Genomic DNA, 17,457 nt, shown 5'->3' with positions numbered 1-17,457 from the left:
AGCACTCTTCACAGTAGGTAAGATATGGAGATAATGGAATCAACCTAAGTGTACATCAGTGAATTAGTAGATAAATAAAATATGATACATATACACAATGGAATCTATTCAGTCATAAAAAGAAGGAAATCCTGTCATTTGCAGCAATGTGGATGAACTGGAGGGCATTATGTTAAATGAAATAAACCAGGCACAAAAAGACAAATCACCTGTGTGATCTAACTTATATGTAGAATCTAAAGAAGTTGATCTTATAAAAGCAGAGAAAAGAATAGTGGTTATCAATTGCCTGGGAAGGGTGCAGAGAGGTATGTAGGGAGAGATTGATCAGCAAGTACAAAGTTGCAGTTCGGAGGAATAAGTTTTGTCTACTGCACAGTGGGTAACTATGGTTAACAATATTGCACTGCATATTTCAAAAAAGAAAGGATTTTGAAGGATTTCCCCAGGCTGTTGGCTTTAGGTACCTGCCAGAATGGCAAAAGCTTTGTATCTATTCATTGCTTTCTTGCAATAATGTCCTTGGCTAATTCTTCCTCCTAGTCTTTGCAGATGATTTCTTAGGCCTCTTCTCTTTTGCTCTGTTTGTGTCCCCAGGTGAGCTAGTCAACTTGCCCAAATGTCACTTCACTTGAAATGTCACTGACATGCTTCCCAGCCATACCTCCCCCGCTGACCTCCAGATCCCCATTGGGTATCCAGTGCAATGCTGAACAGTTATCATGTGTCAGGCAGTATGCTAAACTCTTCATAGACATTATCCCAGATAATTTCTACCAAAAATCCCAGAGGATTAGTAAAATTATCGCCATTTTATATTTGAGACCAGGGAGCCTTTTTTTTTTTTTAGCCATCTGGAAACACAAAAAATGTAATCCCTTTAACATGACATTTGTTCACAAAAAAATGGTAAATTTATGAGGTGAGGAATATGCCAAATGCCAGATTTAGTTTTTACGCAATGTATACATATATCAAAACATTGCACTGTACTCCATAAATATTTACAATTATTGTGTGTCAAGTTTTTAAAAAGAGACTCTAAGTAAATAAATAAAAACAAATCCATTTTCCTAGCTGCACTTCTGATGGATAACATGTATCGGTATTATTAATACCAAGTATTATCCTGTATTTGAATATACAGATAGTCTCTCCCTGGGCAGTGCTACAATCTTTCCAAAATCATTCTGATGAAAAATTTGTTGTAACTGATGAACCATCATTTGAATAGGATAATCAAAATGACTGATCCTTCTGAGAAACTGCCAACTGTGCATCCTATAAACGGGCCACAGTTGATTGGTTTGACCTGAAGTTAAGTATAATAGTCACAACTTAGATGGGTTTAGTAACTCTTCGGCTGATATATGGTTGTAGCCTGGTTGTTTCATGCTTATAAGCATAATTGCAATGCCTAAAATAAGATGAAATTGCTGAAGCTTCATTTGAAGAGCAAAACCTTGGAAAAACTATGAACAAGTTAGCATTTTTAGTTCATATGTGAGTATTAATGAACCTTTTAAAATGACCATCTGTAAAGAGTGCTGCTTCTCTGGTTTGCCCCACTTTGAACATCAGAACTTGACTGCAGAGGACATGCAGGACCCAAGGCATAGCTTTCTACTGGTAACAAAATCTGGTAGAGTTCCTTTAATTGATACTTTATGAAGACAACCAAAAGGTTGCCTGATGATGTATCCATTTTGCTGTTGAGATAACTCATAACTATTTGCCTCAGTGGTATATATGGACAAGTCCTTTTTATGAGAAACTAGTGAAATGTTTAATCAGTTCAGATCCTTCTGTTCACACCTCTCTCTCTCATTTTTATATGTCCTTCCAGGATATGTTGATTACCATTGAAAGTCCCACATCATATTTATGCCAGTTTAAGTTGATCACTTCCATCACAGAAAACTTTAAAAATTTTAAAAATTAAGTCTTGAGAACATCTACTGAAGTATGGCCGAGTAAAAAGGTTTTTATTCCACTCTCCTTCCTTGTATCTCATTAAAAATTGCCATAAATAAATACATGCGAAGGAGAAAAGTACCATCATAAAAAATAAGTTAAACATATAGTATTTCAAATTCAAAAAATTCAGAGAAACATAATTTCTTTAAAAAAAAATCTTTAAAAAGTACCTACTAGATTTTAAAGACGAAATTACAAGACAAAAGAAACACAAAATAGAAACTGGCAGAGCTTGGAAAAGCAAGAGAAGAGGAAAAAGCACAATCATTCTAAAAGCAATAGTAAAGGCAATAAAAGTAGCATTAAAATATTTTTAAAAATAAAAAAGACAATATAGGCTTAAGGAAACAAATATATGAAAGAAATACAAAAAGAAAAAAATTGTATGAAGAAGATACATGTAAGAAACATGGTATACCTCACACATGTATAATTGATGTTTTCAAGGAAGAAAATGCATTAATAAATGAAATAGAAAACTGTCCTGAAATTGTCACATTTAAGCTTACAAATAAAAAGAGATGGATCTAAAAAATCTGATATAAAATAAACATTAAGGTGAATCCCAGTAAATTATTATAATTTTCCAGAACATGAAATTATATGTGCGTTTCAGGAGGAATAAGTGCCAGGTGAACCTAAACTTTTGTGGTAGCAACAGTCAATATTGGACCATAGAATAATGTCTACTAAAGTTTGAGGTAAAGTAAATTTGACCCAAGTATTTTGTATTCATCCAAATTATTTTGCAAGGGTATATGAAGATTATATATCAACCAACAGACATTCTCAAACAAGTATACAGCACATAGGTCCCTTTTTTCATAATCTTTCTGAATTTTACAATGCAGCCAGCCAAAAGATGGATCAGTATAAAGAATTCAGGATAGAAAATCCATAGTTATAATCGTTCGTTGATTTCAACATTGTGTGAATTATGGTGAACAACAGCATATAAATATAATAGCTCCTAATAATTTAAAATTTTTAAAAATCAAAAATTCTGGTTGAGGAGGGCAGATAGTTGCATGATATCTGCTTGCAAGGCACTGGAAGAGATTCAGTTTGCCTAGATTATTCACTAGACGTGACTAAAGTGTAAGCTAGAGCCGTTAGGTCTGATTGCTCAGGGCCTTTAAACACACTAAGGAATTTAGACATTTTCCTAAAAGCACTGGGAAGACATGTAACCACCCAAGGAGATCTTCTTGCCCCCTGCCCAGATAGAGCCAATGTATCAAGACAGGGGAATTTGAATAGAGAAAGAATTTAATGCACAGTATTATATGTACTATATCTACATATATATACTTATTTTTATATATTAGTTTACATATATATTTGTATATATACACACATATGTATACATATAAATATAAATTTATATATTTTTATATATTTACATTTATACATTATATAAATATATAAGTACATATTTGTATGTACACACATATATATGTGTATATACAGTATATACACATACACAAACACATACATATAAATTGAGGGAGAGCCGGGAAAACAGAACAGTAGAAAGTTCAAAAGTTAAAATTTCAAGAGATAAGCACTTAATATAAAATAAATGACATCAGGATCATATTATGAAACAATTTTTATTCCTCACTTAACATTTATTTGAAGCAGCAGCTGGCTCTCCAATACAATAATACTAATCAGTTTTTTGATGAATCTAAATCCTAGGCCAATGAAGTATTTATTCTTCATGAGAAATGCAGTTAAGTAACACATGTCTCTTCCTCTTTTTCTGCCCAGCCAGAGCAACAGAAAAAGATTGCTGGGTATGAGTGTGGGTTTCTTTCACCTTTAGAGCAGAGAGTATTAAAACTCGACCTAAAGCCCATTAATGAATTGTGAGGGACCTACTGATGGACCAAAATGCATCTAAGATTGGAAGTCTTTTTTCACTGTTCTGCGTGGCTCTCTATTCCATAAGTTTTAGTTTTCACTTATGATTTGTGATGGTTAATACTGAGTGTCACCTTGATTTAAAGCCATATACATATAGCCAACTAACTGAGTTGTTTATGATTACTAAATTTGTAAACTGACCTTTGTACATTATCCCAGTTTACTGAAGGTTCCCGTTCAGTGTTCTGACTAAAGCTCAACCCTGAACAGAGAGTTGAAATGTGACATACACCAGGTAGATAGGAGCTGCGATACTAAGTGGGCCATTTTTTTTCATCCCACAAAATGGCCTTAAGAAAAACATGTGAGAGTCTACACTCTAGTGGCGCTCAAGTAAACAACACCTCCATGTGATAAGAACATAAAGAAAATCTCTGAAGAATATTCTCCTCCCACAACTACTCCTTCTATATATATATTACTTCCTAAGAAAAGAAAGAGGAATGACAGGTCATGTTCTTCCTCTCGTCAAACTGAAGCCCAGGAGTCTAACTTTGAGACATCTTTGATGTCTGTATTCCAGAGTCAATTCACACTAACTCAAATAATTCTTGACTGCATAGTCTGATGTACAGATTAGTCAAAGACATAGATGGGAAGAAAATTATCGGATGTTTTAAAAGTCTTCATGAGGTTTTTATGATGGATGTATACAGGTCAGAAGATACCTAGTGATTTTCCTCTAGAAAAGAGAAAAATACAAAAATGGCTTTAATAATACAGGATTAGTTACATGTTATAACAGAGGAATAATCAAAAAATAATAGTGGAATGAGTGAATTAGATTTTATCAACTTAGAAAATGTTTATAGAGGGCTTATTATGTTTCAGGCACATTTTTAAAGCCTGGGGATAGCATCATGAACTGAAAATATTAGGCTCTGTGCTTGTGCTACTTTGTAGATGAGAAGAAAGGATGACCAAGTGTGTCTAACTCAGAAGCAGGGTTTCGAATTTCAAACACTGCTTGCTACCACTATGTGAGGTCCAAGATAGGACCCCACTTCTCCAGTGCAACTCCCCAGTGTATTACTGCCAAATGTAAATCATCACTACCTTGTGCTATTTCTTTATGTCATAATAAGCCCACAGAGATTTTGAAACAATCAAAAATGTTCCACCCAAACACATTTTACAGAGCTCAAGTGATTAAGCTACGAAATATGGTTTCATTAATATGGCTCTGCTTAGTAGTTTTCAAAGTCTAGATAGAGTATTTGTCAACAAGAAGGGACGCACAGGGCCACATGCTTACTGTGCAATAACTGGAAATAAGATACAAACCATGTATTGTTCTTTAGTATCAAGTTAACTGACAGGCCACTTGGTATCTCTTTGACTTGTTTAAAATGTACTTTCAAATAAAAGAAAGAAAACAAATGGTATTTTAACTAACTAGTGTTTTCCTGAATGAGGAAACTGCCTTTTCTAATCTTGTATTATAGACAGGAGCAAACAGGTTTGCATCAATTACTGTTCTGTTTGTTTAATATGTATTTTCAAAAACAGTGAATACCAAATCAAATAGTTTTAATGCTCAGTTATGCTAAATAGCCCCCATTTGGATTTTTTCCAAAATAAATCTAAGTAAATATTGATAAATAGCACAAAGCGTATCAATAATATGTTGTCTGAGCTTGTTATTTAGGGGATTAAAATCACAGCCGAGAGAGCAAATAAATATTACAAGTTACACTGCATCATATTTGCCAAACTTCCTAAATTATTAGCAGATCCACTGGGTAAATGCAGCAGCAAAGCACAATCTGTTTCCCATGCAAATCTGAAATCCACTTATGAGGCATAACAAGCCTAGATAGGATTTCAGATATATGATTACAGAATTATTGATTCACCATTTTCATCTCCAAAGAAGGTCATTCTAGGGATCACCTTGTAGGTTTACCCAAAATGAAATAAGAGAAGTGTATATGGGTAGTTTATTCTTTCCATGTGTACACACTTGAGGTCAGCTTAACCAATTTGTACCAAGATGATGATTCGTATAAGACACATAGAATCTATCATCAAATGATTTTCAATCAGATAGGAAGTATGTGAAACAAATGCACAATAACTCTAACACAAAGAAGAATGGAGGTCTCCATAGCAGTGTAAGGGCTGTCGAGGAGAATATGTTCAGATGGGGAAGGTGAAATGGAGTCCTGCTTCCTTGAATTTAATTGAGCAAGAAACAGAGGAGAAGCAAACACTTTGGAAGAAGAGTTTGTGTAGCAAAGGCTCATAGTCATAGTTGCCTTCTAAAGAAGGAGGATCCCTTTTATTTTCCTAGGGCTCTGGATGAGCAGAGGTATGCAGAGGGGACCCTGAAACTGCAGCTGGGCTAGGAGCTGGAGAGAGCTGAATTACTCTGGTTAAGGAAATGTGAGATTTGGGATTTGCCACTAGGAGGACGAGAGGAAAAGAAGAGAGAAAGTATGAAAGAGATGTGAGGCTAAAGCTAAAACTGAGAGACAGTCTGCAACAGGTATATCTAACCGGAAATGTTAATTATTTCATTCCTGTAGTGGGAGTACTTCCTTCTCCCCAGACCTCTGTATTTCATTTCCTCTACTAAATGTCTTGTGTAGGTGGGATGCTTTGGTCATGGTATTTTTGTTTTGTTTTTGTTTGGGTTTTGTAGTTTTTTTCTTTCTTTTTTTTTTCCTTAAAATTAAGAAAGAGAACTGAATTCCATGACTGGGTTAACTAATTGTAATAGAGGGACCACATTAGCAGGAAGGTAAGTGGAGCTGTAAACTAATCACAGATGCTCCTCTAGTTACAAACAGCTTAGGTAACCAAAATCCCTAATTGTGCATAAATCCAAAGTGACTCCACACAAGTAATTGCTATTGCCATCTGTTAATGGCTGGCAGAGCTTTTTTATGTATCTGTGGAAATTGAAAGTTTTTAATAATTGAAGTTATTCTGATAATGTAACCCTTTTCTCTGCTTTACCCCACAAATTTCTATAAATCTTAGAGAAAGCCACAGATTCCACATTTCGTGGCATGGTAGGTCAGATCCCTTTTACCTCAATCTTCAAGTGTATAGAGAATGCAACTAATATCAAGGTTATGTATGTAATCCAATTTGGTGGAGCAAAGTGTATGTTAAGCAAACAAGTAGAAAACTTAGAAGGCAGCTTGAGACCAAATTGTGCAGGATCTTGAATGTTCAAGTCAGGAACTATGTTTCATTACACCATGAATTATAATTCAAAATTACAAAGGGGAGGAGGACTAACAAGTAAGAATTGATATATCCAACCTAAATATCTCCCTCAAGTCCCACATCCATGTATCCAGCTGCCTACTGGACATTTCCGCTTGGACTTCTCTCGGGTATTTATTTTATTTATTTTTTGAGATGGAGTCTCACTCTGTTGCCAGGTGGGAGTGCAGTGGTGCGATCTCAGCTCACTGTAGCCCCAAACTCGGAGATTCAAGCAATTCTCCCACCTCAGCCTCCCGAGTGGCTGGGACTACAGGCACCCACTACCACGCCTGGCTAATTTTTGTGTCTTTTAGTAGAGGCGGGGTTTCACTATGTTGGCCAGGCTGGTCTCAAACTCCTGACCTCAAGTGATCTACCCTCCCTGGCCTCCCAAAGTGTTGGGATTACTGGTATGAGCCACCACGCCCATCCTCTCTCAGGTACTTTAAACTTGACTGTCAAATTCATCTTTCTCCCCCTACATATACTTTTATATGTTTTCTATGTGTTTTTATGTATTTGTTTGTTGATACCTGTTTCCTAGCCAAGAAGCTAGGCATCAGGTCTGTTTTCTTTGTCCTTATTCCATATAGCAAACTGGCCAATGGGATGTGTTAATTTTGCCTTCACGGTGTCTCTTCAGTTCATCCTTTCTTTTCCAACCCACCACCTTTCATTTAGCCCAGACCCTCATGGTTTCTCATAGGAATTACTACAGTGTAACATGTGGGTGTATGTCAGATTGCCCGAGTTCAAATTCTACAGCACACTTCATCAGCCATATGACCTCTATTCACTTCAGTTTCCTTGTTTGTAAAATGTGGAAAATGAAAGCACCTACCTTAAATGAATAAATGAATGCATGCCTGAATTATAGGAGGAAGAAGAAAAATTACATGATCAAGCCTTAGCTTTATCGAGGTATGAATCCAGATAGTCAGAATCTATGGCAGGGCTGTCTGATAGAAATATAATGGGAGTCATTACATTTAAATGTAACTTTAAATATAAATATATTTATATTTAAATGTGACTTTAAATATAATGGGAGCCATTATATATATATGTGTATATAACTTTAAATTTTCTAGTAAAAAAATAAAAATACGTTAAATTAATAATATTTATTTAGTCCAATATAGCCAAAATATTCTCTTGTGGCACTAGACACGTTTTAAGTGCTCACTAGGCACATGTGGCTGGTGGCTCCCATTACTGGACCAAGCAGCCACAGAGATTATGACACTGGAGAATACTATTGTCAAAACCAATGAAAGAAAACCTCAAGAAGGTGCTTAGAAAGAAAAGATGATACATTTATCCTGCTCACAGTGAGGTTAGGGTATGTAAGCAATTCGGGTGAAAATATCTTAATAAGCAGTGAGAAATAGAGTTCTAAAATAGGCAGAATTAGAGATTACATTTCAGAAGCCAAAAACCAAGGATCTAGCCATAAAGTATGCTTTAATTTTAGCTCACCTCAATAAGTAAATATTTGCTTACTAGTATTGCCTGGTGATGTGTGGTGTGCTGTGGGGCCCTCCATGACTTCACTCTTGCTGTGCCCCCTCCTCAAAGGTCCCACATCTTACTCTGCACCTCTCCAAATGCTGTCATACAAAGGCCTGCCCCACTTCTTACATTAAGGCTTTTCCAACTATTTTGTCACGTTTATCTTATCCCTCAAATCCTGCTGTACATAAAATTACTATTTACACAGTTAGGCACTGTAATTACTCTGGGCACCATCTTTTGTCCTCATAGCTTGACTGTAAGTTCCTTGAAAACCAGGAGCATTTCTGTTTCCACAGACCTCAGAATCAAAGAACCTGAGTGCTCAATAAATGATTGTTGAAACAGTGACTGACTCGGGCAACATTCAAGCTTCAGCTTCCGAAATTATGAAGGCACATCCAAGGAACTGAAAATTCCACAAACACTGTTCTTTAACTCAGTGCTAATGGTCAAACTGCTTCCATTTGCATGTGGGTGTTTGGAATGGCAGACTCAGAAATCATTTTTGACATAAACTGGGTAATCCAGAGGGCAGTATGGGCTTCCAGCTACTCTTCAGGTTCACCAGGAACAGGTAGTTCAAGGTAGTTACGTTATAAACCTTAGATGTCTTGATGCACTTGCAGTTAATTCCAGCTAATTCATCTTCGGAGGAAGATGTTTTCATCACTGAGTAGTGAGCAGGAAGAGATTAATTTTAAAGGCAAGCAAAATAGAAGCGTCTTAACAGCCCGTTAATTATGCCATTTTCCCATTTCCTGCTCTTGATGTATTGTGCGCCCATGAAAAGATGGGGCAAAATCCAGGCTTTAGAAATTCATGTTTTGTGGAGAAAATCCATTTCTGTGCCTTGCAAAGCAGAACTACAGGTGCAGCAAGTGAGTAAACAGTACCAGCTGCTCCTTGGCTGTGGTTCGTTAAAGAGAAATTAAAGACAAAACCCAGGTTTGGAGTGAGTACAGAATCACTGAGAGGACAGCAACGGATTTTTCATGACTTTGGCCCCGCTTCTAGCATCTCCACCGTAAAACAGCACGCTCATAAAGGAACCGCAGCACACACATGCTGAAGGTCAGAGCTGGTTTCTGCCTATATTCTGGTGAAGTGTTTTGGTGAAATGTCCTTGCAGACATTGTGACTTAGCCAGGGAACTCGTACCAGATTCATATATTAAAGTTCTAGAGGCTGATTTGGGAGATGATGTAGAGTGCCTAAACACACAAACTTGTCACCAATACAAGTGAATTCACATCTTAAGCTTTTAAAAAATTCATATCTCAAGGAACCTAATGGGCTCAGGATTTTTTTTTTTTGTACTTATGACATGGGTTCACTTTTATATGACTAAGCTTTTAGGAAAAGTCTGTGAGTGGAGAAGTTTGATAGTATAGAGTTTATCAGAATACAGAAGATAATATTACACATCAGAGTCTCAAAAACGTTTCAGTGGTTATCTGTTTGCTTTATTCTCACCAGTTGATTCCTTACCTTGTGTCTGATAGCACCATGTGTACACTGCCACCAAGGATGAAGGGAACAAAGTATCATTACATGTGACATAAACAACAACTAATAACAAACTGTTGGTTTTGATATTGCTCCTGAGTGATTTTTGGCATTTTATTACTTCATTTGACATTCTGAAACTTCTCAGGAATTATGGGGAAGAATTTTCATTAGGTGCAGTCAATGATAAGGGTAAATGAAGCTTATATTTATATTCTAAAGGTTATATTTGGAAAATTATTTTCTACCTATATATTAAATTATAAACTTTCATAAGTGCCCCTTTCTTAACTTCACAGTTAACTGCTGTGGACCATGGTATGTCACTTGTGAATGTAAAACAAATGCTAAGAGAACACTCAGTGGTCATGTCATGTTATCTTCTTGAAATTTATTCCTAGGGCTCTAGTCACGTCTTATAGGACAGTTTACCCTAATGCAATTGGCTCCATTGTTGCTGCTCTGGTGCTGGTATTACCTCTTCATATACCCTTGACTCCCATCTGCTGTCAAGATGAGGGCACAGAGGCTGAATGAAAAGGTGAATGAAATACCAAGGCCCATTTCCTGCATGTGAGTGGAAGCAAAATTTTATTTTCAAACTGAGTCTTTTCTGGTAAGCAGACTTTGCCCTGCTTTGTACCACTGCTTTCTATTTAGAATCTGTTATGCCCTCAGTGAAGAAAGTGTTGCAAAGTACAAATTCTTTTTGCATGACTTCTTCCCCCAATTCCAAAATGCTTTTATGAGTCATTTAGTAGAAAGTAGAAAGAACAAGACCTTGTCTATTGAAAGGAGCTCCTGCTCACGTGTGAGCTGCCCTGTCTCTTGAGGTGGTACAGACGCAACTGAGACAAAGCTGTGAATGGCAGCCATGATGCTTCGTGGATTGCCTGACACACCATGAGCACCACGAGAATGTTCTCACTGCCACAGAGCAATAGCATTTCTGTCGCTAACAGGAGCCAGAAGTATGATTTCCATTATGATAGGGAATTTTCCTGCATCCTCCAGGCTCCCACACCTCAGTCTGAACCTTTCTCAAGTAATCCTGTGTCATCACTCTGACTCTACTCTGCGTTTGGTATAGATCAGCCTTAGAGAGTACTGCTGGCATCTTTGCATGCCCCTGCCACCCCACAATCATAGTTGGTTCCTAAATGCCATTTCCATCCCCCTGCAGTGGACCAGCCTAACTACCCAGGCCCCATGCATATCTCAGAACAGACTATTTGGATCTGGGCTTTGAAAGTCATCTGTTGGCTTCTGAGGACAGGCCAGCTTGGGGATGCGGCTGGGAGCTATGAGTTGTGATGTATCAGGGGAATGTCTTAGGCTCACACAGAGGTGTTGCATATAGAGAGGGTCCGTGAGTGGAGAAGTATGAGAGGGCAATTATAATCAGCAACCTGTGCTGCCAGATGGGATCAACCAGGAAAAATCAACTAGTGAAAGCTAATGATGAAATCATGTAAAGTGGGATAGGCAGGAAACTTTTCTAGGTTTTTGTTTGTTTGGGTTTTTAAAATTTATTTGTTCTTAGCAATGAGCATGAAAGTTTGGTTTGAGTTCCCAGGTGAGGAGCCTCACCCTCTTCAAATGCATAAACTTCTCAGACCACTTGTCTAATAATGGTTCCAGGTAGAATTGAAAGTTGAGGACAGAGGTCTGTTGCAAGGACTTTCTCCTCATTAAAATGTTTTCTCTTCAGGGCTCTCTATGTCTGATTTGGCAGCCTCACCCTGAATGATCCAAGTGGCTTTCACCTCATTGGTTTTCACTTCATTGCTCCTGGCTTTCTCGGGAATTGTTTAATTGGGTTACTATTGTCTCACTGGCAGGAACCTACAAAAAAAGGGCTCATTTCTAAAGCAGGGCCTTCCTCTCCAACCCTAAGTGGGCCTATTAAGCAAATGCAGCCCCTTGACCAGTTTGACCCTCTGTATAAACATAAACATGATTATAGGCCAACTTCTTTACCTGTACCTTTTTCAAAAATAAGAAACCTCCAGGGTGTGAAACTGATGCACTCACCCCGGATCTTTCCCTGAAAAATCTCCAGATATCTACTTGTGTGAAGGACCTTGTTCAAAATGGCATTTCCCTGTTTCCCATTTGACCTTGTCCTCTGCTTTGAGAATGTGCAAAACCCTTGAGGAAAGTACATTTTCATCTGTCTGTAGTACCTACCAACTTGGATGTGTTTTTAGGCAAGGGATAGCAGAAAAACTCTGGAAAAATTCCCCTTTCCAATAGAAATCTGTTTATTTTGCCTTTAGCAAGGAACTGTTTGTTTTCTGGGCTCCAGATTTTCAATCTGCTGGTTGAGGCAAATGTACCTAATGTGTCCGGGGATGAATGTGAGTGCTGGGAGATTTATGGCTGAAACAGGAGCCTTTCTCGGGATTCTCTGTGACCTCGGGCACAACTTTAGAACAAGGTGGTATTTGCAGCTTTGGTGCCTGCAGGCATGTGGGTTCCAATCACTTCTGCTTGCAGTTCTCAGCTTGTGAGCCCACTTGTGTGTGTTTTGTTTTCTTGGCTTATGGAGTTGTAAAAGTAGCACAGAATGTACCAGGGTAGGCTCAGCTGGAGATGACTAAAAGGAAATCTTGGGGAAACTGGCAGAGAGCTGTCCACTGGTGAGAAGCAGGCACAGCTGAAATCCATTGGTCCTCTGTAAAGGAAGGCAGTGTCCTTCACAGACGTGAAGAGTGAGGTTAACAACTTGAATTTCTGACCAAGTGTCTATGCCACTAATTTCAAGGTGTGGGGGAGAGCAACTCTTCTTAAAGTATATCTGTTCAATGAAGAGCATAATAATACTAACTGGCATTTAGTGAACATTTATTATAAGCCAGAAACTATGCTAGGCCTTCTTAACACATTCTCTCTTTTTAATTCTCCCAATTGTCCCTAGGCGCTAAGTGCTTTAGATTACCCCCATTTATAGATCAGGATTCTCAAGCACAGAAAGGTTAAATCAATTGTCCAAGATGACACAGGTGGCAAAGTGGCAGACCTGGGATGAAAACCCAAGGCAGACTCCAGAATCCAAGCTCTTAAACTTGTGAGGCATTTAGGGATTGAGTTTAGGTCTTTGTCTGGTCCATGCAGAGGGATAGGAGGCAGCGGGCCCTAAGGGAATGAGTGATAGAATGGCCAGCCAGCCAGCCAGCAACTCCCTCATAGGATGGAGTGGATTTTCAGTCAGACTTCAGCCTTGCATTTTCATTTTGCTTCAAAGATTATTTTCTTGTTTTCCTTACCTTTATTTTTCCTTCTGCAAGAGTTGATATATCTGTACTTCCATTCATTTCCCCAATTTTTCTATATCTCCAATATTTTCAGTTTTACCCTTTATATCCCACTATCTTTCTTGATGCTGTTCTAAAATAACCTATTCATTGCCCTACTCTAAATTCTACTGTCTCATTTTATGTGAGGGTAAAAGGATAATATAGGAGATGGAGTAAAGTAGAGTCATCCCTGTTTGTCCTTCTCTCCCCTTTTATTCCCTTTCCATAAGAAACTAGAGAAATGTTCCTTCACCTATGAAGAAGAGGGAGGAATTGAAGTGTTTCTTTTTCCCTCACCAGGGGGAGCTGCCCAAGCCAGTGAACCCCTACCCTGTTTCCATCCATCTCTTTATCTGTTGCAAGTTATCCCAGCAGGCTGTCATCTCTTCTCCAAAAGCTAGACATATACGCTGACTTCCTGATGCCCTTGAAGGCTTCTGTGTAACAATTAAATTTGAGTATATGGTTCTATTTTTCCTCCATAAAGACCTTTTCATTCAATTTTCCAGGTTCTCCTCTCTATACAATCATTGTAATTTGTTTAATTGAGATGATCTATACCGTGTTTCTGATCTAGTACTGTTTCTACCAATGCACAGAATATCTGCCTGGATTCAGCCAAATCTGCTCAAGCATTAAAGAGCTAAGTACTTAGGCTTTGATCTTGGCATCATCTAATCTAAGAATCTATATCTGAAAAAAAGAGAGCATGTGGAAACAACTGAAGCAAAAAGCAAAGAGAGAATATGGAGGGATATTTTTATCAATACATATTTTCCTCCTATGGCATAGTAATCACTTGACCATAGTATTTGGCTAGACGAGACTGTGGTACAATGCTTCATTCAATCATTCATTCAATGATTAGCTAAGGATTATATTTGTATCATATTTGGCCCTCTGGAACCCTAAAATGTAAAATATCCTCACATTTTATATTGTTGGACTATATGTGCATAGACTCTAAATCGTATTCTGGCTCTAAAACTGGTGAAAAGAGAATCAGAATAAAATTTTTTCTCTCCCCTTAAATAATATTTTGTACTTTTCTGTACCTTACACTACTGGCTCTTAAGCCAGATGTGTCTGCAACTGAGAGAACTCATGAATGCTGATGTCATCCAGAAGATTTGAAAATAAAACAGAAAACACTCTTTCCTGCAAAACCACCAGATGCTGTCACTCAGACAAACCACTTTATGCTGTTCTGATTGGGACATCCTTTACTACACTGAATGTAAATGGAGAAAATTCGGGGGAGGAAATATTTAAAATTACAAAGAAATAGGAAGATTTTTCGATAGAAAGATTGGTCCTAAAGTTTGCAGGCTGAGAGGAAACAAATTCAAACCTATGAAACCAAGAAGAATATAGATAAGATGAACAATGACTGAATCACCAAATCCTGCAATACAACAATTAGAGGGTGTCCTTAAATGCTTGAAAGGTATATTTTATACAAATAAGGAGTAGTAAACACACTTAATAGCCACTCATTTCCCCCAAAGCTGTCCAATGCTAAATGTATCCATTAAAACTACTTAGGTAGTTAAGCTGTAATTGGGTTATTAAGAGAAAAGAAGGAAATAGATACCTCTCAGATGTGTAATTTTAATGGTAAGGGAAAACATTGATTATTCAATGTCTTGTGAGAGAGAAAAACTTTGGACTTTATAATGGCAATTCTTATTTTGACCACCTTCTATCTTTGGACTTTCGTGCTGTTTATAAGCAACTACTCTAAAGAGTGAACATGGGAATTGCAAGCAAATAAAACACCAACCCAGGTTATTTTATACATAATTAGTTAGTGAACTCTTAGGGGACATATTAAAGTTTCTCACTAAAGTAAGATTTTACCATTATCTGATATTAGATATTTGTCACATTGTGTTTATACTTTACCCCCTGGCTAGTAGCATTAATAATGAAAATGAGTGCTTTATATATGCATATTAAGTAGGTTATTCTTTTTTTTAATATGAGCTACATTTTCAGTCCATTTCTTTGTATAATTTTTAAACTATATGGCACAATACAGTAAATATTCATAGGAGGTCGATAAACTATACAAGAAACAATTGGAATAAATCTGGTAGATTGTTTCTATTTAGACATTAACTCTGTTTATCATTTGAGGAATTCTCAGTAGTTGTACCAGAGGTGATTGATTATTAAATCTATTAATTAGATACAAAATACTAATATGTTCTGTTCAAAAGAAGTCAACAAGGCATAATTATCACACAAATCAACAACGAAGAAAGACACGTTTTAGGACATTTGAAAAAATCACACGTAGCTTATTTTCTTGAGAATCTTAATCATGACAAAACCTGGGTTTCACTGACTAGATGTGAAATGTGTGGGGCATTTGTTTACTACGTGTCTAAGCACGGTTAGAACTACAATCTGAAAAATGTTTTAATTGTACAGCCTTACAATTATTTCAATCTAAATATCAGAGGAGTTAATAACATCAATTAATTTCAAAATTATGCTTCTATTTTTGTGAGGCCAAGTATAAATTGTTTTTGGCAAAAAGAAAAGCTAGTTTTGCCTTTTTTTTTTTTGTAAGGCCTGCACTGGATTATGTGTTCTAATGTACAGAATGTTTAGCTAGGCTCAACCAAATTTGCTGTCAGATAAAAAAAATTAATAATTTAATATTTAAACCTACTGCCTCATGTGTTGTATGAAGAAATTACCTGATTTTTAAAAATCAATTTTATTTCACTTATGCTTTTCTTTAAATTAAGTATTTGAACGCTTAAGATTTGGTATAATTTTTATTTGATGGTCTTGAAAATTGGCTACAGTCTGTGGGAAATATGAAAGTTCACTTAACTATCTAAAAATTTTATCTACATGATGCCAAAACTCTATTTCATGGAATCTTTGGTAATTTTCTTATGGATTTCAACTTTTACTTATGTCTATTTTCTCCTCCTAGTATTATTTACGAGACACCTTGAAAAAAAACACTGCTAGTCTGCTTAAGAACTTAAGTGAGTATATGCACTCAACCCATCAGCTTTAAGCTATGAGAACATACTTTAAGATACATAATGTTTCAGGTCACAACAAAATGCAAGCTACATGCTGAAAGTCTCTGGGTCATGGCGTTGGTAGTTGCCATAGATTCTGGGATCAACTTTGCCATTTACCATCTGCATTTTCTTTTTCTTCCAAGACTATGTTTCTCTTGCTTTTGACTGACCAGTTGCATAAATACTTTTGGAATAAGCTTCTGATTAAATACCTACATGTAAAACTGCTAATGTGATTTGCAAAGCCAATAAAATACCCAAGAAATAGTCAGAACTGCTTTCCTTTAGCCTTTGAGAAAGTACAGTCTGCTTCCATAGGATAATCATATTGAATTTTAAAAGTGAGTTACCAACCACTGCTTTGCTTCCTCTCCCTAAATAGCAGGTATTAGCTCGAAAGAAAGTCAAAAGAAAATGGACAAACTGTGATCTGCCTTCACACCTTTAGTCAGTCTTTGAAAGTCCTCCTATCTGCAAGTGTCTCAAATAATTACTGAACCTTCACTCACATACATATTTTCCTAAATGAAGTTAGTAATCATGGAGGCTAATCAAAAGTTCACTGAATCAGCAGGGAATGTAATAAAGGTATTCAAAAACCAAGTAGGTGTTTTCTTTTGCTTAAAACACACACACACACACACACACACACACACAGCCTACCTCACTGATTCCAACAGGCAATTCAGCTCATAGAGAAGCTATAAGTCTATAATACCTGTCTCTGGGAAATGAATTAAATAATATATGCTCAGGCAAACCTGTGCAAAATTGTAAGTCTGACACATTGAACTTGATGGAACTTTCTCTCAGGAATTTCTGGCTTTCACTAGTAACCCCTCCTGTTGGACTTAGAGAATTGAGTCAACTAGGGATCCTGGTTGGAAAGCCATCCCTTTGCGGTGTTAACTGTAAACACATTATTTGTATTTTCACAGCAAACTCGAAGGCCTAAAGATTTC

At 36.9% G+C, this 17,457-nt stretch overlaps 1 protein-coding gene and 1 long non-coding RNA gene across 16 annotated transcripts in view; both read left to right on the top strand.

The window, feature by feature from the left end:
- The window catches only part of MAGI2 (membrane associated guanylate kinase, WW and PDZ domain containing 2), a 1,436,613-nt gene that overhangs the window by 1,005,441 nt on the left and 413,715 nt on the right, over positions 1-17,457 (top strand). The gene's annotated exons all lie outside the window — the stretch shown is intronic.
- The window catches only part of LOC124901683 (uncharacterized), a 35,204-nt gene continuing 21,208 nt past the window's right edge, over positions 3,462-17,457 (top strand). The window contains exon 1 of the long non-coding RNA XR_007060399.1: positions 3,462-16,453. This is a non-coding gene — a long non-coding RNA (uncharacterized LOC124901683). The remainder of the gene's footprint in view (positions 16,454-17,457) is intronic.

Source organism: Homo sapiens, chromosome 7, assembly GCF_000001405.40.
Source record: "Homo sapiens chromosome 7, GRCh38.p14 Primary Assembly".
Classification (NCBI taxonomy): domain Eukaryota; kingdom Metazoa; phylum Chordata; class Mammalia; order Primates; family Hominidae; genus Homo; species Homo sapiens.
Note: the sequence above shows the minus strand (reverse complement) of the source record. Positions and strands in the feature narration are given on the sequence as shown.